The sequence below is a fragment of the Homo sapiens genome, chromosome 3, assembly GCF_000001405.40.
Source record: "Homo sapiens chromosome 3, GRCh38.p14 Primary Assembly".
NCBI classification, from domain to species: domain Eukaryota; kingdom Metazoa; phylum Chordata; class Mammalia; order Primates; family Hominidae; genus Homo; species Homo sapiens.
The window spans coordinates 16,285,592-16,306,311 of NC_000003.12; the positions used below are offsets into that span (position 1 = coordinate 16,285,592).

General features: G+C 39.7%; 1 protein-coding gene and 1 long non-coding RNA gene across 21 annotated transcripts in view, besides 4 other annotated features; one reads left to right on the top strand and one right to left on the bottom strand.

Annotated features, from left to right (window-relative positions):
* The window catches only part of OXNAD1 (oxidoreductase NAD binding domain containing 1), an 86,884-nt gene that overhangs the window by 20,380 nt on the left and 45,784 nt on the right, over positions 1–20,720 (top strand). For 17 of the 20 annotated variants that reach the window (NR_199631.1, NR_148220.2, XR_007095766.1 and 14 more), the window contains 5 exons: positions 751–857; positions 9,265–9,406; positions 16,035–16,277; positions 17,049–17,157; positions 17,817–18,001. Coding sequence is in view for 13 of the 20 variants with exons in the window: in XM_011534230.4 (XP_011532532.1) it covers positions 751–857; positions 9,265–9,406; positions 16,035–16,277; positions 17,049–17,157; positions 17,817–17,971 (756 nt within the window). In the remaining 7 variants the exon portion in view is untranslated. Of the gene's footprint in view, positions 1–750; positions 858–9,264; positions 9,407–16,034; positions 16,278–17,048; positions 17,158–17,816; positions 20,497–20,720 lie in introns of those variants that run through there. The other 3 variants (NM_001330670.3, NM_001352980.2, NM_138381.5) reach the window with 1 other exon arrangement.
* Positions 670–809: a silencer, noted in NCBI's record as "silent region_14113". NCBI's record gives its function as "represses an Ori minimal core promoter by ATAC-STARR-seq in GM12878 lymphoblastoid cells {active_cell/tissue: GM12878}" and the evidence as "EXISTENCE:reporter gene assay evidence [ECO:0000049][PMID:35858748]".
* On the bottom strand, positions 11,067–16,040 carry LOC107986065 (uncharacterized). The gene is made up of 2 exons (XR_001740608.2): positions 15,586–16,040; positions 11,067–14,573 (listed from the first exon to the last, which is right to left on the bottom strand). It is a non-coding gene; the product is annotated as an uncharacterized LOC107986065 (long non-coding RNA).
* Positions 15,398–15,517: a silencer, noted in NCBI's record as "silent region_14114". NCBI's record gives its function as "represses an Ori minimal core promoter by ATAC-STARR-seq in GM12878 lymphoblastoid cells {active_cell/tissue: GM12878}" and the evidence as "EXISTENCE:reporter gene assay evidence [ECO:0000049][PMID:35858748]".
* Positions 15,923–16,504: an enhancer, noted in NCBI's record as "OCT4-NANOG hESC enhancer chr3:16343021-16343602 (GRCh37/hg19 assembly coordinates)". NCBI's record gives its function as "activates a minimal SCP1, AML or CMV promoter by ChIP-STARR-seq in primed H9 embryonic stem cells {active_cell/tissue: H9 hESC(primed)}" and the evidence as "EXISTENCE:reporter gene assay evidence [ECO:0000049][PMID:30033119]".
* Positions 16,505–17,084: an enhancer, noted in NCBI's record as "OCT4-NANOG hESC enhancer chr3:16343603-16344182 (GRCh37/hg19 assembly coordinates)". NCBI's record gives its function as "activates a minimal SCP1, AML or CMV promoter by ChIP-STARR-seq in naive H9 embryonic stem cells {active_cell/tissue: H9 hESC(naive)}" and the evidence as "EXISTENCE:reporter gene assay evidence [ECO:0000049][PMID:30033119]".

The window sequence follows — 20,720 nt, forward strand, 5'->3', positions numbered from 1 at the left end:
ACCTGCATAGCTCCCGAGTCAAACCTATTCAAGGCTTTCCAGAAATCAGATACATCATGTAAAAATAGTGCTTCTCAAATTATCTGTAGGGAAGGGCTCTTTTTATTGTTAAGATTGTGATCTGTTTCCATTTTATAAAATATCGTGTGATAAAAAATGAATTTGAAAATTAATTAAAAACAAAGACATGAAGAATGCAAACCCATTTTGTTTTCTGTTACTAGACTCAATAGGCACAAGATTGTTCTGTGAAATTGTTAAAAGTTTCTAAGTGCCTGCTTTTGATTTCTGAAATTAGCTCTTTGTGGGCTCCTTACACCCCCAGAAGCAAGAGTGGGCCTCACTTTGCCCAGTGCTGATGGAGAATTTAACGGCAGCTCCTTGATAAGACCCTGGCTTGTTTACAGAGTTCCAATTCCCTGAGCTCTTCCCAGAGTGCCTAGCCCAGTGCACAGCACATTGTGGATACTCATCAGATAAATGCCGGTTAAAAGATCCCTTGAATAGATGATTTTTGAATGTAGGATAAAATTAAATTAGTATGATAGCAAGTCTCTCAAAAAAAAGTTAATTAAAATGTATTCACATGGTGGTAGGCTGAACTAAAGCAAAGTGTGTTTTACCTTGTTTGGCAATTTTCAAAAACCACATCTTTGTAGGTTTCAAAAACCTTAGTTCTCAGGATGCCACCATTTGTCCCTTGTGCTGTGTACGCACTAACCTCAGCCACAGTTCATCTTTTGGTTTTAGATTGTGTCAGCAGCTAAGGTGTGTGGAGCTGCCAGTGAGTCACCGTCAGTGAAGAGCCTCCGCTTGCTTGTTGCTGATCAAGACTTTTCCTTTAAAGCTGGCCAGTGGTAAGTGACTTTTCTGTGTTCCATGTATGTATGTTCAAGAAGGTGCCATCAGATAGAAGGTATTATTTTTTCTCCTGGAAAAGGCTAGCCATTCCCTTGAGGAAGAGGAATTCTAAATCATATCTGCTCAGGGTGAGCCTTTGTTGGCACAGAGGATCTGATTCCTTTTCTGGCCTCAGAGCCCACTTGGGTTTTGAGCCCGTGGCTCCCTCAGTCGTATATGAAAATTGCTGTCTTGTGTTTTCCACATTCAAACAAAGCTAGTTCTGGCCCATGGAACTGACAGCTCTGATAATTAGACTCTTCAGGAATGGTTGCTAACAGAATGCACTTCAGTAATCTAATCTCCTTGAGTTACGTGTTGCAGGAGATTCATAGGTTTTTTAAAAGTAGTCTTCTTCGTGTCCAATGCAGAGTAAACAAAGTATCCTGAAGAGAAGAGGAACTAGTGATGTCATCACAGGGCTCACTACCCTCTTGACTGAATTTGTCTATCATATGTACCTTATTTGGGTTGAATTTAAATACTTTGCCTAATTTGTTATCAGGATTCCCCAGTCAGGCCCAGCTCCCCAGAACCCCCACACAAATCATAAGTCTGTCCCATTTGACTCGGGACTGATCAGCATGCTGACTGGGTAACATTTCCTCCGAATGGGGCCTCCCTGAGCTTCAATTCAAGTTCAATTGTAAGGAAAGCAACTTGAATTTCCCTAGGAAAGGTGTGTTTGGGTGTGTGTGTCCTTTATTTTAATAAAGCATTCATTTCTAAATGGATTTCTGGCATGTCAGTCTTGATAGTGTTTCTTAGGAGTCACTTGACTAATTTTGGCAGTCCATCTGGAAATGTGGTTTTGTTAGAAGGAGGATGTGTGATAATAGCAAGTGTGATAATAGCAAGAGTTAGCAGTCTTGTGTGTTAATAGTTTGCCTTTGAATTTAGAACTAGAAAACAAGATGCTGATTGCAATAATTTGGGTTTGTGAAGCAATTTACTGCAATCTTTGCACATGTTCGATGATACACATTAAATGCATTTTGCCTGTTTTAGGGGGCGGGCAACATATTTACCCTTCAAAAATGGTTTAGCAGTCATTATATTGAAAAGTGGAAACTTTAATTGTAATGATCTGTTTTCCATATTTCCTTTCTGTGGAAATGTTTGTGTCCTGTGCAAAGCACTGTCTCCGTGCCTTCAACTCTGAATCCTGCCAAGACTCAGACCCAGCCTCCTGGTTAGGAAAAGCCTGTGCATTGGTTATTGTGCTGCCACCGTGGTGTGCCTGCAAGTGTAATGCACTTGCTAACCTCAGTTACCTGATAAGAAAATGTCCTCATTCCCTAGTGATATTTGTAGAAATAGAGTCCTACTGTGATTCTCAAGATGAAATGATTTGGGATTGGTGTCATGTATACCATCCCAATGAATGGATTTGGCCATTTCACTGAATTTAGGCCTGGTTTTCGTATGTGCCTGTCAGACTTCTTCGGAGGTCGGACTTGGCGGGTAAGGATCACTGGCTGGTAGTGTGTGACGCTTTCCCTCCCAGGTGTTGATCAGCATTCATTCCAGGCCCCTGGGCCCTCCTCTTTCAACAAATTTTACCCTTACCATTGATTTATGGTTCTAGGGGTTGTGAGTTCCTTTTGATATTTGACCTTATGGTCACAGAATGGCCATTTTGCTGAGGTTGGCGGTGTCTGTCCCTTCCATGCTGTTGCTTGAATGGCTTTGTGCTCTAGGCTGTCTCAGACCATCAGCTTGGTAGTAACAGCCATGTGGTACTTTGGAGAAGAGGGCAAGGATTAGGGATAGGAAGTGAGGATGTGGCTGCCATGCAGTTTGTGTAGGTAGGATTATCAGACTGGAGAGCTGCTAGAAATCAAGGAGAGGGTTGCTGTTGGGCTTATCTTTGGGGTAAGAGATTGGGCCGTGATTCCACATCTCTGAATTTTTGACCAGTGGCTTCCTCTGACACCTACCAAACTCTGAGAATGAGGTTCCAGGCACAACTCTAACTAAATAAATGAATGTTGTCTGTGACTAGCTGGAGCTTTGGCCACAGATCCCCATGTAGACACCTTCAGCATAGATCAGATATAGGCCTCAAGGGGCTCTTTTTGCACTACACTGTATTCTTACTGGGCCTTGCAGAGAGGGCTGGTTCCTGTAGCAATAAACCAGTTCCAAGAACTGTAGCAATCCAATCCCGAGAGAAAGGCCAAAGGCAGAACCACCTCAAAACATCTCTCACATGAGCAGGGTTGAACTTCTTGGTTCATCTTACTAGTAGGCCTACCACTTGCTAGCTCCTTGGTGAGGCCTGCCCTTGACCAGAATTCCTCCTCCCTTGGGGTGGAAAGCTTGGCACTCACTCTTGGGTCTGGAGCATGCCACCACTGGTCCTCACACAGTGTGCAGCTGCCCTGAGTTTCTAGATTCACATTTGGCTGTGGTGCTCACTGCCTGCCTCTGGCATTGGTTATGCTACTGTGGGTAGCAGTGTATTGTCGCCTAGTGCCCTGGAGACTGCTCAGCTCACATGCTTGCTTTCTACCAGCCAGCTCTGTGATGTGGTCAGTTTCCTTATTTGTCTGGGCTTCAGTTCTCATATCTTCAAAGAGGGAGCAGTAGTATTCCTACGTTTTGGGATATTTAAAGTGTTTAGCATAATGCCTACTGTTAACTTCATTTGTTTGATTTTAGCTTTTGTTATTGCTAATAAGTATTTCATTCAGTTAGATCATATGTGCTGATAAGGCCCAGGGGACAGATTCCAATTCTTATCTCCTTGGTCAGTTTCCCTGCACTGAAGCTGTTGATTGGAAGAGTGGCAGGCCAGGCAGGAGTGGGGGCTTATCACCACCATGTCACCACTGATGCCCCAGTCAGTACTCAATCCACACTTGGCTGGGTATAGCTTGCCTCCTGAGGGGAAGTAAGGCCAAAGCATTTTCACAGAGTGGAGGGAATTCCTGGTCCTAGTGTGTCTGACTTTCTACAAGATAACATAAGTTTAGATGCTAGAAAGCAACTTTGAGCCCTGCTGAGAGAAAGAGGACACCAAGAAGAAACACTGGAGGAGCAAGATTAGAGAAATAAGACTTTATACCTACCCTTGAGCAGGGCTGCCACACTGTAGATAGATAATATCCTTGCAACCTACACAAGCATGTGTGGCAGCCCTGATTCTCACAGGACTGCACATAACATAGCACTGTATTCCTTGGCATCTTTTTCAAACTGTGTCCTCCCCCATTACTCATCTGGTAAGCATTGTGTGTCTTTTAAGACTGTTTAAAGGGCATCTCTTCTGTGAAGTCTTTCTTAATTCCTGTACTCCTGGTAGAATTGACTCCTCCTTCCTCTGCCTTGCCTCGCTACGCTAAGCAGATTTTATCATTGCCCATTTAATTGTATGTATTTGTTAATTTTCCTCCTCTTAGAGTGGGTTCATTGAGGGCAGCAACTAAGACATATGTGCATCTTTGTACCTCCAGCAAGTACCACAGTGCCTGTATATGGTAGGCAGGTGCTCTCTTAGATGTTTGCATTAAGTGAATGAGTGAGGGGCTCTGAGAACTGTAGGCAAGGACTAAAGAGTTCTGGGATCTCATAGTATAGCTGCTGTGTGCTTGGCACTGGGGCTCCCTTTGTGGACAGGACCTGGCTGCCTGGTGTGTCATGGTTGGATGTGGACATCCACTGCTTCACCGCGCACCTAGGCTCCTTCTGCATACACTCACTCATTGGGTATATAGTAAGGGCTTTAACTCATGGCTCCAAGAGTGCTCATCCTGCAAAGGACATTTTTAAAGGTGTGTGTTTAAGGTATAATTCTTTCTTGGACAGATGTTTTATGAAATATGTATTGTGCATATTTTCTTAAATCCATTCAGATGAAGTTTTTATGTAACTTAAATTCTTCTGTATTTTTTAATGAAGGAGTCCTTTTTTTCCAAAGGTAGCTTTCCAGAGTTACTAGAGAAGAGGGTTGGTTCCCTTTCATTCAACTGAGAGAATGGCCTTCATCAGCATTGAGCAGCAGAGGGCACTGTAGTTCAGGAGATGAAGCAGCAAAAGTAGCTTATTAATGTATTTATTTTTTAAACATGGAAATAATGGAGATTTTTGTATACCTCCTCTGTGATAGCATATAGCAACTGTGTTAACAAATGCTAACGATAGTCTTTTAAATTTTTATCTTGTCAGAAATGAAAAGAAAGTTAAAGTACTCATGGAAAAGAGTCAAGTGAAAATAGGTTAAAGTTGGCCAAAGACCTTTTCTGGAGCACTTCCAATCCAGAACTGGTTTTTAAACACTTATAATAAATGACTGGAAATGTAAGGCCATAGACTGCAGGAGAATATTTTTTTAAGGTCATAGATCAGATTAGAGAACATCTTTTGCTTTTCTTTTAGGCCTGTATGTAGGTAAGCAACTGGGGAAGGATGATACTTTTTGCTCTTGTGATGGCTGTGAAACACCTAGATTGGATGTTTATGTTTCCCAGATATGGGGATGAGAATTTTTTGTGGTTCTGTGTTCCAATACATTTTTCTTGGTATGTGACTAGGTTTATTGCATTTCCTAGAATCCTCACCAAAAAAGGGTTTCTGTGGCATAGAATTATTGAAAGCTTGAAACCCAGGAGTTCTAGACTACAGGATGTGGTTAGAAGAAAAGAAGGAAACGTTAAGACTTGTGTAACTCAGAGGCCATATCGGCCTATTAAGTCTGTCAAATACTAGTGGGAGAGTTTTTGTTGCTTTTCTTGACCCTTTTTTCATACTTTTTAAAACTTAAAAAGACTGTTATGTTGAGATATATTCATATAAAATTCAAACATTTAAAGTGTACAATTCAGAGGTTTTAGTATATTAACAGAGTTGTGCAGCTATCAGCACAATCACATTTAGAACATTTTTATCCCAGAAAGAAACTCTGTAATGATTCTTATTCATTCCCTATCCTCCTGCCCGGCTTAGATGACCACTAATCTATTTTGTCTCTATGGATTTGTCTCTTATAGACATTTTATACCAGCAGAATCATACAATACAGTGTGTGGTCTTTTTGTGATTGGCTTCTTTCACTTAACATGATTTCAGGGTTCATCTATGTTGTAGCCTGTATCAGTACTTCATTCCATTGTATGGATATGCCACATTTTGTTTATATCTTCATTAGCTGATGGACATTTACATTGTTTCCACTTTGGGGCTATTGTGAATAATGCTGCCATGAACATTCATGTACAAGTTTTTGAGTGAACATACAGTTTCACCTGTCTTAGGTCTAAACCTAGGCATGGAATTGTTGGGTCATATGCTAACTAACTAACATTTTCAGGCACTATTAAATTGTTTTCTAGAGTGGCTGTGCCATTTTACATTCCCACCAGCAATGTATAAATGTTCCAATTTCTCCAGACCCTAACACTATTGTTTGTCTCTTTGATTATAGCCATCCACGTGGGTGTGAACTGCCAGCTCATTATGATTTTGACTTACATTGCCCTAATGACTATTGATGTTGAACATCTCTTCATGTGCTTATTAGCCATTTATATGTCTTCTTTGAAGAAATATTAATTTAAAGTATTTTGTCAGTTTTTTATTTGGTTGTCTCTTTATTACTGAGTTGTAAGAGTTCTTTATATAATCTGAATACAAGAACCTTAATATTAATAGATATATTATTTAAAAATATTTTTCCCATTATGTAGATTGTCTTCTTAACTTTTTTTTTTTTTTTTTGAAATGGAGTCTCACTCTGTCGCCCAGGCTGGAGCGCAGTGGCACGATCTCGATTCAGTGCTACCTCTGCTCCTGGGTTCGAGTGATTCTCCTACCTCAGCCTCCCAAGTAGCTGGGACTACAGGTGCATCTGCCACCATGCCCAGCTAATTTTTTTATTTTTAGTAGATACGGGGTTTTACCATGTTGGCCAAGCTGGTCTCGAACTCCTGACCTCAGGTGATCCACCCACCTCGGCCTCCCAAAGTGCTGGGATTTGTATAGGCATGAGCCACTGTGCCTGGCCCTGACTTTCTTGATGATAACATTTGTAGCACAGAGTTTTAAATTTTGATGAAATCTGTTTCTCTATTTTTTTTCCAACCCTTTTGGTTTGGGGTCATATCTAAGAAGCCATTGCCATGAAGTCTTACTCCTGTGTTTTATTCTAAGAGTTTATAATTTTAGCTCTTACATTTAAGTTTCTGCTCTGTTTTGACTTAATTTTTGTATATGTTGTGAAATAGGGGTCCAAATTCATTCTTTGTATGTGGTTATTCAGTTCTCCCAGTGCCACTGTTGAGTAGACTGTTCTTTTGCCATTAAATTGCTTTGGCAGCCTTGTCTAAAATCAATTCACCATGAATTTAAGGCTTTATTTCTGGACATTCCGTTCTTTTCCATTGATCTACATGTCTGTCCTTATGTCAGTACAACAGCATTTTCATTACTGTAGCTTTGTAGTAACTTTTGAAATCAGGACCTGTGAGTCCTACAAATGTAAACTTCTTTTTCAAGATTGTTTTGATGATTATGGGTTCCTCAAATTTCCATATGAATTTTATGATCAACTTGTCAATTTCTACAATGAAAACACCTGGGGTTTTAGTAAGTATTGCATTGAATCTGTGGATCAATTTGAGGAGTATTGCCATCTTAGCAATATTTAAGTCTGCCATGCCATGAACATGGAATATGCTTCCATTTACTTAGATCTTTAATTTTTTTCCAATGGTGTTTTGTAGTTTTTACTGTGTAAGTCTTACACTTATTTTGTTAAATTTATTCCCAATTATTTTATTCTTTTTTATGCTATTATAAGTGTAATTGGTTTTCTAAATTTCACATTTGGATTGTTCGTTGCTAGTGTATAGAGATACAGTTGATTTTTGTCTGTTGATCTTGTATCCTGCAAACTTATTTGAATTTATTAGTTCTAATATCTTTTTAGTGAATACATTAGTATTTTCTATATATGACAGCATACCATCTGCAGCTTCCACCTCTGCAATCTGAATGCCTTTTATTTCATTTTCTTGTTTACTTACTTTGGCTAGAACCTCTAGGACAGTGTTGAGTTGGAGTGGTAAAAGTAGACATCCTTATCTTGTTTCTCTTAGGGGGGAAACTTTCAGCCTTTCACCATTAAGTAGGATGTTAGTTGTTCTGATCACGTTTTATTTCATTTTCTTGTTTACTCACTTTGGCTAGAACCTCTAGTACAATGTTGAGTTGGAGTGGTGAAAGTAGACATCCTAATCTTGTTTCTCTTAGGGGGGAAACTTTCAGCATTTCACCATTAAGTAGGATGTTAGCTATGGGTCTTTTGTAGGTGCCCTTTATCAGGTTGAGAAAGTTCCCAATTATTCCTAATTTGTTGAGTATTTTTGTTATGAAAAAGTGTTGGATTTTGTCAAATGTCTTTTCTTGACTATTGAGATGATCATGTGGGTTTTGTCATTTATTCTACTGAGTGGTGTATTACATTTATTTATTTTCAGATGTTAAACCAACCTTGTATTCCTGGAATTTTTGTACCTAAATTCAGAAGGGATACTGGTCTATAGTTTTCTTTCAATGTCTTTGTCTGGCTTTGGTATGAGGGTAATACTGGCCTCATAAAATGAGTCGAGAAGTGTTCTCTTCTGTTTTTGGAATAGATTTTGAAGGATTTGTATTAATTTTTAAATGTCTGATAGAACTTAACAGGATGCCATCTGGACCTGAGCCTTTCTTTTTTTTTTTTTTCTTGACATGAAGTTTCGCTCTTGTTGCCCAGGCTGGAGTGCAGTGGCGCAATCTTGGCTCACTGCAACATCCACCTCCCAGGTTCAGGTGATTCTTCTGCCTCAGCTTCCCAAGTAGCTGGGATTACAGGCATGCGTCCCTACGCCTGGCTAATATTTTGTATTTTTTTTTTAGTAGAGACGGGGTTTCACCCTGTTGGTCAGGTTGGTCTCAAACTCCTGACCTCAGGGGATCCACCTGCTTTGGCCTCCCAAAGTGCTGGGATTACAGGCGTGAGCCACTGCGACTGGCCTGGGCCTGAGCTTTTCTTTGTGGGAAGTTTTAAAATTATTAACTCAATCCTTTAACTTGTTATGGGTCTGCTCAGATTTTCTTTCTTCTTGAGTCAGATTTGGTAGTTTATGTCATTTTAGGAATGTGTGCATTTCATGTAAGTTAGCTAATTTTTTGGCATATAGTTGTTCATGGAATTCCTTTATAATTCTTTTTATTTCTATAAGCTTTGTGATGATATCTCCTCTTTTATTCTTGATTTTAGTAATTTTTTTTCATAGTCTTGCAAAGGTTTGTCAATTCTGTTTAATTTACCAATTTTTAAAATTGCTTCAACAATAATCATTTATTTGGCTTTCTTTTTAGGGTTGATTTCTTTATTCCAGGAGTCTCTGTGGTTGGTGGGTTTTCAATATGCTCCAGTCCCAGACTGCTAGAACAAGAGAGAGTGATAGAATTGGCAGTGAAATATACGAACCACCCTCCTGCCCTCTGGGTTCACAATACGGTAAGCACACTGCCTGTTTAAACGCGATGATCTGGGTATCTCTGCCACCCACAAAATTTGTGTTAAGCTCATTTGATTCACCTAAGAAACCTGGGCTTGAGTAAAAGGGTACATGCCCAGAAAGAGCTTCTAAGAAAGGTCAAAGAAACTTTGATGCATTAAGTATGAGTCAGAGACTTTGGGATCTGGAAGTATTTTCTGGGTCACCAAACGGTATTCAGTTGAATACTGCTTTAGAATTAAAATATTTTATATTTTAGACAAGTTCTAAAAAGTTGGCTCTCTGTGTCATGTAAATGGTAAATCTATAAATCAGATTATTTTGTCCTAACCATCCTAAATAAAGGGAATTAAATTATTATTCTGTCATTTTTGGAGGGGAAACTATCTGATTACATAGTACTGCTTCTTCCCAGAGGTGAGCACAGCTAAATCCACGGTGCCATTGCCTCTCTATTTCAGTGTCTGGAAAGCTCTTCACTCGGGATTCTGAGAGAGAATCCAATTTGATTGCTGTTAATAACTCTTATTTCACCACAGGGCTCAACACAATCCTACAGAAGCTGCCTGTCATTACCTACTAGAACTCTGATAACAAAGAATGAGCTCAGAACAGATCAGTTACTCGTTGTCTTAGTTTTTGACCCTTCTATCCTTTTCACTTATTGCTTTTTCTATTCTTTTCCTTTTCCTTTCACTTCCTCTTCATTGCAAGAGTGTCTTCTATATTTACCAACAACCTCCATCCCAACCAGGCATTTTCTTACCTTCTTTACCAAAAACACATACCAGTATAAATATGGCTTCAAAAACAGCATTTTCCTGTTTCCTGGAAATCATTGAAAATCAATGAAGGAAAAAGAAAACAAAACCTCTATTTTCAGCAAAACTTGGAAACACACTGTAGTATATTTTTAAAGGTTGCAGAGAATTTTTGGGTTTCTGTAGGAGCCACATGGAAATAAGTAGAGGAGAGAGGCCGAGTAGCAAATTTCATAGAGCACCAACAAAAATACATGAGGGAGTGGGGTGGGACTTACAGCTCTTGCCTGCAAAGAGGGTATGGAAACACAGTTGCGTTTTGTGGCTGTAGAAGGCCCACCTGAACGCAGCAAGGTTCAGTTAGGAGAGAAGGCACGCAAAGAATCACACAGGCAAATCATGTTTGTAGGAACTAATATGTCCTGTAGTAGCTGAAGAGAGCTTTTATGTTGTGAAAACCAGCTAGCTTAGGATACTCTCTGGCCCATCCCCCAATGTAGGACCCTCTTGCAAATAGTCCAAAAAAAAGCACAGTTCATTTCAATCCCATGAAAGAAATCAAAGAAGACATGAGTAAATAGAGAGATGTACTGTGTTCATAGATTGGAAAACTCAACATAGTAAAGAAGTCAGTTCTCCTTAAATTGATTTACAGATTTAACATAACAATAATCAAAATCTCAACAGGATTTTTTATAGATATGGACAAAGTGATTTTAAAATTTATATGGAACAAAAAAGGACCTAGGATAGCTAAAACAATTTTGAAAAAGAAGAATAAAGTGAGAAGAATCACCTTAATCAAATTTAAGATAAAGCTACAGCATTCAAAACAGTATGGTATTGGTGAAAGGAGAGAAACACATCAAATAATGTTACAGAATGAAGAGTTCAGAAATAGACTGACATATATGGTCACTTTATTTTTGACAAAGGTGGTAGATTCAATGGAAAAATTGAAAGGCAAAAGGATAAACTTTTCAACAAAAGTTCTGGAACAATTTTGCATCTAGATGCAAAAAACAAAAAAACGAAAAACCAAAAACCTTCAACCTAAACCTAAACCTCATACTTTATATTCAGAATTAACTCAAAACGGATTGTAGATCTAAATGTAAAACATGGTACTATAAAAGTTCTAGAAGAAAATGGGATATTTGGAACTTGAGGGTAGGTAAAATTCTTAAACACAATACCAAAAGCAAGATCCATCAAAAAAAAGGTTGATGATAGGACATGGTCAAAAGTAAAACTTTTTCTACAAAAGGCATTTAACACAATTTAAAAACAAGCTACAGACTAGGAGAAAATATTTACAAATCAGATATCTAACAAAGGGCTTGAATCTAGAATATATAAAGAAATCTCAAAAGTCAACAAAAAGAAACAAGCAACATGATTTTTTTAAATGGACAAAGGATTGAACAGACACTTCAGTAAAAAAGGATATGATGATGGCAAATAAGCAATGAAAGGTATTGAAACATCGTTAACCCTGAGGGAAATGTAAATTAAAACCATATGTGGTGGGATGCCACTACGATCTAGTCTAATGTCTAAAATTAAAAATATTGACAATACCAAGCGTTGGCAAGGATGTGGAGCAACTGGAACTCTCATATATTGCTTATATTGCTAGTGGGAATGCAAAATAGTACAGCCGATCTGGAAAGCATTTTAGCAGTTTTCTATAAAGTTAAACATACACCTAACATATGACCCAGCAATACCACTTCTGAGTGTCTTAGAGAAATGAAGGCTATGTTTATATAAAAGCATAACATGAATATTTATAGCAGTTCTATTCATAATTATTAAAAACTTCTAGAAACAACCCAAATGTCCCTCAGCAGGTGAATGGATAACTTGTGATATAGTCATACAAGGGACTATTAAAGAGATGAATTATTGATGCATGCAGCAATGTGGGTGAATCTCAGAGGCATTCTGTTGAGTGCAAGGAGGCAGTCCCAAAAGGTTACATACTGTAAAATCCCATTTTTGTCACATTCTGGAAGACAAAGATATAATGATGGGAAACCAGTGGTTGACTGGGGTTGAGATTACTGTAAAGGTAGGATCGATAGCACAGGGGAATATTTTCAGGGGGTGATGGAACTAATATATGTTTTGATTTTGATGATTGTTACCCAGATCTATATGTGTGTTAAAATTCATAGAACCGTATACCAAAAGAAAAAGATTTCTATTAAGGAAATTTTTAAAATAAGTTTTTAAAAATGTGCAGGAGCAACATAATATATTCTTGTGGTTTACACGTCAAGTTGTGTCTGTCCAGGATAACCCCCAGATGCCTGTGTAGGCATTTCCATTGTAAATGTATCCTGTCACATTTTTACCCTGCAACCTTCTGAGTCTCTCCGTCAGTGTGGCCTCAGCTGCCTCATTGCTTTTTGGAGTCTCTGGATTTTCCCCTCATTACTGGCTCTAGGTTGCTCCTAGAGGTGCTAAAATATGCTGCTGGGGTGAGAGCAACGAGGTATCTGCATGCCCCTTGCTCAGAGTTGAAATAAGCATAGCCATCCCAGTTCCTAGTGCCATGAACATCTCCCCATCCTCCCTGTTATCCTTAGCTTCTCACGCGACCTGGCCTGGTCCTGGTCCACAGCTTCCTGCTTGGTTTCATGCCTCATTGGCATTTCAGTGAAGAAACTTATTCTTACAGGCTGTAGAAAATCTCAAAGTGTTATTGCCTGAATGCACATCCTAATTGTAGTGCCTGCTCTACTCTGCCCAGTGGGAGTTGCAAACAGCCTTTATGAAGTCAGATTTTTCTTGGAATCATTTTCAGGTGGCTATTTTCCTCCTGAGGATTTGTCTTATTAAGCCATTCGAGTGGACAATGGAGGCACGTGAGTGTCTGGGTGGCAGCAGGCTGCACCGTTGAGACATGGAATAAAGTGCCATAAACGTCTTCCTTTATTTTATCTGCTTTGGCTCAAGCTCTTGGCAGGGTAAAGGGTTCTAGACAGCTATTGTGTGCTCAGCTCCAGTTGCTGTGGAAAGGTTGTTTATTTCACAAGTAGAAAATCTATACCAAAATTAGATACATTGCTGTGTAATTGAAGGTAATGTCCTTTTATTCACTTACATATTACAGTGTACAGTACTTTGAGTCTTGTGTTCGTGTTACCCTCGCAGTTTTTATTGATCAACAAAAAGACAAAGATGGCTTTTAATTCTTCCCGGATGCTACCAAATCAGAATACAGACCTACCGAAGATTATTTTGTCGTCAAGGATAAGACAGGCTTCTTGAATATTATCTTTCCCTGGGGCACATTTTCTTGCCAACTTTAGAGTTGAAAATACTCTGGTTTCTAAAAACAATAACCTAGAGGCTTTCTTTGTTGTCATTACTAAGCATGCCAAAGATGGCCACTGGAGAAAATTATTTCAGTCTCTTTCACTCTGATTCTTATAGATAAAGAGAGAACTGCACAGGCAAGCAAGAGAGGGAGGGAAGGAGGATATAGGAGATGAAATTCATTGTCATCGTTAGGCAGAGCCTCTTGTATCTTAAATTCTATTTTTGAGACTTGAAAGGAAAGAATATTTTAAAGCACTTTGGTAGCCACTGTAGCAGTTCCTAGATTTTAGTTATTCCTAACTGAATGCTCCCTTGCTGCTAATTTCTTTTGTCAAAAATGAAAACCCACTTATCACCATTCATGTAAAAATCTCCCACATATTTAAAATAGTGAGGTTCAGACATTTTTTCCCCTGAAAGAGTATCCATTCATTTAACAGTTCTTTACCAAAAAAGACATGTTTTTGTGAATTCAAATAATTTTCATTTTTCTTAGATCTTCTCTAAATTTAACTCAACTTTAACTTGCAGAGACCAAATTAAATTCATGTCCAGAAGTACCTACTGCTCACCTGACATGCAAGGTGCCAAGGTGTGAATGCTAAGGGTTTGGTTCTCAAAAAGCACGCGATGTGTTATTACTTCTTAGGAGGGCATTCATTTAGTTGATTTATGCCAGGAACGTGTAATGGGAGAAACCTATGCTCTTAATACAAGTTTCTTTATTCCTAGAATCTGTTTTTTAGTGACAGGGAAGAAGGAAGCTGGTATTGCCAGCACTTTTTCTTTTGTGACAGCTGCAATGACCAAAATTCCTTCTTATGTAGAGCCAGATACTCGGGAGTTCCACCCACTGTGAGTCAGTTCATGTTCACACCAACCCTGTGAGGTGGGCAGTGCAGGTGCTGGTACCCATTTTCCAGGGGTGGCAGATGAGGCTCAGAATTTAAGGGACTTGCTGGATTTCATAGGGGCTATGATTAAAATTCAGTCTTTTGACTCCTAGATCAGTGGTTTTTTTCCAAACAAGGGATTACCAACTCGGTCAGATCCAATGCTCCTTTCTAGAACTGTCCTGAAATGAAAGTCATAGTTAATGTAATGTACCCATAGGTTTTTTTTTAAATAACATAATTCTCTAACTAATACAAAGGAGAAATAAAAGAAAGTGATCCATAATCAAAGAGTATGTATTTTAAAATATAAATGGTTAGGCAGATCTAACTGGAAGATAGAATGAAGTAATCAGATGGCTATTCCTAAACATAGAATCACCGTGAATACACTGTCTACAAATGCAGATGATAAAGATGTGTTGTGTGGGTGACACATGTCACTAAGTGGAATGTGGTTTTCCAGAACAGTGAACATGCTTGGTTAAGTTCTGAACACAACAAAGTGTAATCTACACTGTGGCTACTGAGTTTATTTGTAAAATGAGCTAGAGTCTAGTCTCAGATCATTATAAACCAGTTTTCACCTACAAGAACGTCTTTTGGGCCATTCACAAGTCATTGTGCAGGACAGTCTTGTGCATTGTAGATAATGGTGTGCTGGCAAACCAGCTGTCTGAATTTATCTGAGTTGTATCATTTGCTGATTTCTGTGCTGTAAGTACTCCTACAATGGCTGATTTCAAACTACCAGTAGGAACTTTCTCACAAAATTCCTGTAGATTTGACCACCAGCTTAGTAGGAGCCAGCTCTGGGAAACCACGAATTTTGTAGGATCTCTAGCATCTCTGGCCCTGCCCTTTAAATGCCAGTTGGATTCCCCAAATCATTGTGACAATAAAAAATGTCATCACAAGTTTCCCAAACACCTTCATCAGAAGCAGTAGCACCCCCACTGAGAAAAACAGTACATTCAACTCTGATGGTATTACGGGCATAAGTGACCTCACCAAATAGGTGCTTTATCTAGATAGGTCTATGTGATACTCCCTAGTATGAAGCCTCTGGCTGCCTGTTCTTGTTTCTCTAGGGAGACAGGAACAGCACTGAACAGTACTACAGGGCTGGTCTAAGCCTGTAGAGCTGGTCTGGCTGTGCCTTACTGAGGATCAAGAAGGAGCACCAGTACTTACACTTTTCAGCCTTGATGAACCCAGGGCAGGCAGTCTAGTGACATTTGCCACATCCTGTTTCTCTCAGCTTTGGTTAGAACACAGGAACACAACTCAGATAAAGGAGACCCATACTTCAGAGCTGTACCCTGCCTTTGAGTCCATTGCCTCTTTCCTCAATCCAGTTCATCGCCTAAGAAGTTAACAAATGGTGAAATCACTGAAGCACATCTCCTTTTCTCAGTATTGGAATGGCTGTTCATTATGGATTACGAAGGTGGATTAGCCTGTGGCCTATAAAATGAGCAAGTGGAATCAATTCACAGGGCATCGGGAAAATTGGGAGCAAGCTATAAAAATAGTCTTAAATACTGATAATACAGGAGATAGACCCAGTTTTATTAAAGTAGAACATTTGGTTTAAGACCTTTGCTACAAAAGACTAAAAGGTCTTTTCTTTCCTGCCTTAGTGTACACTTGACTGTGAAGTGGCTGTGAGAGTGGGTGGAGAGTTCTTCTTTGACCCTCAGCCTGCGGATGCCTCTAGAAACCTCGTGTTGATTGCAGGAGGAGTCGGAATTAACCCTCTGCTTTCCATCCTGCGGCACGCAGCAGATCTCCTCAGAGAGCAGGCAAACAAAAGAAATGGATATGAGATAGGAACAATAAAACTATTCTACAGTGCAAAAAATACCAGCGAACTCCTGTTTAAGGTAAGGGAGGTATAGCTTGCTGTAAGCAAACTTGTGTAGTGGTATTAATTGTTCATGAAAGTTTTTTCTCTAGGTTTTGTTTTCTCTGCAAAGGTTCAAACAAAAGGCTTGGCAAGATTTAATCATGCTTAAATGAGAACTAACCAACACACCTTACCCAAGACAAGTAAAACTGCTAGTGTTGAAGAGGCTAGCAGTTAGGTGACAGGAAAGGGTAGGTTTTGGTGGGATGGAATCTGGAGGTTAAATGAACAGAAAAGTCACAAGGGTCCCGAGATTCCAGTCAAGAGACCTACAGTGGACTAGTGTATCACAGGAGTAGGTAAGACTTAGACAGTTTGGACCCAGCTGGGTAAATGAAACCCCTGTCAGTTGCATCTGTTTAAACTAAGTGCATTTGATGAAGAAAGCTTTCACTGGGGATTGCTTTGCAGCTGCAGGAATGAACAAAAGAACAGAAACAGTTAAAAGACACAACTGTGGTCAGTGAAACTGCTGCTTAATTGCCAATGCTTGAGAAAAAGGAAAAAGAAAAAACTCCCGGAGAGTTGGTAATATGCTTGTTAGCATATTCAGATTTCAATTAAAGCCAAATAGCCCTCTGTAGTCTGAATGCTCTGGCCTGCTAGGCTGCAAACAATATCTCTCTAAGTAGAGAGCGAGAGCGGCAGACGTGTGCAGAATGGGAGTTGAGGTTCAGCGTCAATGGTTGTGCACATCTGTTTTGATTTTTTAAAATTGTAGTGTGACCAAATATGTTTGACATTCCAGAAAAATATCCTTGATTTAGTAAATGAATTTCCTGAGAAGATTGCATGCAGTTTGCATGTTACAAAACAGACTACACAAATCAATGCGGAACTCAAGCCATACATCACGGGTGAGTCCCCTAAAGATATTTTGACTATCTCCATGCAGTTATTTGATGGACACACCAGTTGGTTGAGCGTAGATGCTTTATTGTTGGAAGCTGCTGGCTGGGAATGTCACTATCTGGGGAATTGGGATGATTCCTCATGGAAAAATGGATATTTAGTTGGGTTTACTCATTATATACAGGTTTCCTATTGCCTGTGTTAAAAGTGTACTTTTCACACTTTTTAAGAGGCCTTTGCATCATCACTGTAGTGTCCATACAAATAATTTATATTCCAGATTTGGCTGAATTGATTCCATTTGCCATTAATGGTCATTTAAACAACTCATAATTTCCTCTGAAAGGATTTTTATAAAACAGTTACTTCCTTTGCTGAAGGCAATTTGTATCTCCATCAAAGACCAGTAAGCTAGCTGGCCCTTTCTGCAGAGTGCATTACGATGAGCTTCCCACTTTGCTTGCTTAGGTTTAGGAAGCCTGGAGATGCACTCTGCTTGGGTCTGGGCCCAGATGCCAATAGGAGCCATACTGTGAATGGCTTAAGAAGACTAGACTCACTGAACTTGGAAATAAACACTGTATCTGAATTGTGGTTAGTCCTTCCTCATTTGCTGATACAACCATGTCTGGCTTAATTTGGTGTTTATTCTGGTTTTTGGTAGAAGGAAGAATAACGGAGAAGGAGATAAGAGATCATATTTCAAAAGAGACTTTGTTCTATATTTGTGGCCCACCTCCAATGACAGACTTTTTCTCCAAGCAACTGGAAAACAACCATGTACCCAAAGAACACATTTGCTTTGAGAAGTGGTGGTAGGAGGCAGACAAAGGCAGAAAAAATAAAGAGGTGAGATCTACTCAGGAGAGCTCCTGTCCTTTGTGGCATGATTAATTTTTTTTATCTCTACTTGAGTTGTCTTATTTTTTAAGGCTATAAACTTAGTGACCAGCTGGATAATAAAAGCCAGCTGGCAGACTTAAATGATAAACTTTTTGCAAAGACCTCAGTGATCAAACTATTTTTTACTATACTGATTTTCTGTTATTAACAACGATTTAATTGTCTCATGATGTACCATGATTGGTCAGTATAGATTTTTCTTTTGTCTTTAGGCAAAAAAAAGATATATACTTATGTCTAATCATAGGAAAATGTGATTTTTGAGTATAAAATGTGGGCTAGCTTTAAATTATTTGACAGCCATCTATATATCTTATGTTTAATGAAAGTATAATTTAAATACAATCTTAATAATTTTACTTTGAAAATTCTTTTTATTTAATGCCTTTGTTTACTGTACCATGGCCTACAGTCTTATTTGGTCCATCAAAGTTAAGTTTGGACATGGAAAATTGTTAGGAAAACTGCTTTAGGGAGTTAAATATCCAGCATATTTGCTTTCTTGTTAATGAATATCCTAAGTGTGTATCCTGACTAATTGTTAGTTTCTTCTCAAATGAAACCCTTTCTGTGTCTTGGCTGTCTGCCTTAACGCTGTAGGAGGCAGCTTCTTGCTTGGGACAAAGGCATTGGTGATGTGTTCCATGTTGAATCTGCCTTCAGTGCCTGGGCTGGCTTGCTATGGAAATGTGCTTAGCATTGATTAGGGGGTAGAGAGCTGTTTCTAAATCCTGCTTTTCTACTTTTTATTTCACTCATTTGCCAGAATTGTTCTTGGCACCAGCAGCTCCTTAACATATAGTTGTTGAATGACTGAAAGAAAGCAACTAATGTTTTAACTCCTTGCTAAGTCTGAGATTGGGAGGCAGTCCCCTAGAGTGGATAGAAAGAATGGTGGAGCCTCATCCCAAAGCTGCTCTGATGAAACTGCTAGAAAGCAGATTGTAGTTCTTTGTTTAGATTTTTAAAAATCCAAAAGAAGTCCTGACTGAGGCCAGGCCATTCCTTTTATGACAAGTAGTCCTGGGCCCAAGGTTGCCTGCATAGAGATCACAGGAGGGTGAAGGGAGCCTGGGAAGAAGGACAGATAAGTGCTGGAGACCTAGGAGCTCCAGTTGAGATTCTGTTCTGGAGCGGATGAGAGAAGACAGGTTACCCTTTCTTATCTTTGTTGTTGCAGGCCTCCCAGGGACTTGTGGGCTTGAACAGATATGATTCATGGGACCTGAAGGTGACTCTAGCTTCTGCCCAGTTTTGAGTTTTGTCAAGTTTTAAGCAGAGATCATTTGTCAACTATTTTGATCCCAGATTTGAATTTGGGGAGGAAGGGAGGAGCTACTGACCTGATGGGAATATCATAATCCATTCAAGGAAATGGTCATTAGTACCTCAGAGGTGAAGGGAATATGTGAAGCTCTGGATCACTACAAGGAGCCCTGACTTACCAGTTGGCCCCAAAGTGCCCAGGCTGAGGGCATAGGAGCATGATGAGATGCAAGGATGTGGGATTATCAAGGGGCACGTCTACTAACTGGTGAAGGCAGTCTGCGGGGGAGGACACCTAAAGGTATGCGGAAAGTACCTAACCCAGACCTCTCTGCATTAGGAGTGGAGGTGCAAAGTGAGCATCTCCAGTGCAGCATGGGATGGGAAGATAGGGAGGTGTCGCCCACTGTCTCGGTTTAGCCAGCACCACGGCTGGCTGTGTGCCTGCTACTGTCAGAGAGCAAGGGTCATCTGTCCTGCCCAGCTATGCCTGCCACCCTGTTGCTGACTCAGTATTGGCAGAATTGCTGAGATGGGCCAGGTCATCACCTTTGCCTGGAGTGTTCATCCTTTCAGTGCCATTATTCTGGTGCTAAGTGCTGAAGAACATTTTCAGGTCTAGCCGAGAATGTCCTCTTGCTCTTGCCTGCCAGGCCTGTCCAGATCTTTTTGGTACTTAAATTGAGCTAACTCCAGCCAGAGTGGCTTGGAATTCATAGTGCGGTGGCTCAGAGTATAGGCTCGAAAGCCCTTGAGCCAGATTGCCTGGGTTCAGATCTCACCTATACTACTTACTAGGTAGATGACCTTGAGCAAGTCACTTAACTGCTCTATGCCTCATTTAAAATTACATACAACTACATGTAAAAGGGAGATGATACTGCTGCCTACCTACCTACATGATAGGGCTGTTACGGGGATTGAAGGTGATCATACATGTAAAGTGCTTGGCAGAGCACTGCATGAGTGTGTTGTCGTTATTAATTTGCTATTCCTTGTCCTATTCAGAAAGGATTTCAAGAGGCTGGATGCCTTAGATGTGGTCTAACTTGAAACCTTCATGTGGGTGTGCGTCTGTCTTGTTTATTGCTGTGCCAGGCACAAAATAGGTATTTCATAAATATTTGTTAATATGCTCAGAGTTGATAAGCTGGATTAAAGTGACTTCTTAAGGATCCTCTGGCTCTATGAGTTTGAAAAAATGTTTCTTCTTTTGACATAAGACCCTTTCCCAGCCTACTCAAGGGACTAGGTTAGTCTGATATTTGTATCTTTCTCAGATTTTATTTATATTTTTTCAAACATATGACAAAGTAGAGATAGTAAAATGACTTCTCGTGCATCCATCACCCGGCTTCCATGACTAGCAGCATTCTGTTTTTGTCAGCCCTCAGCTTCT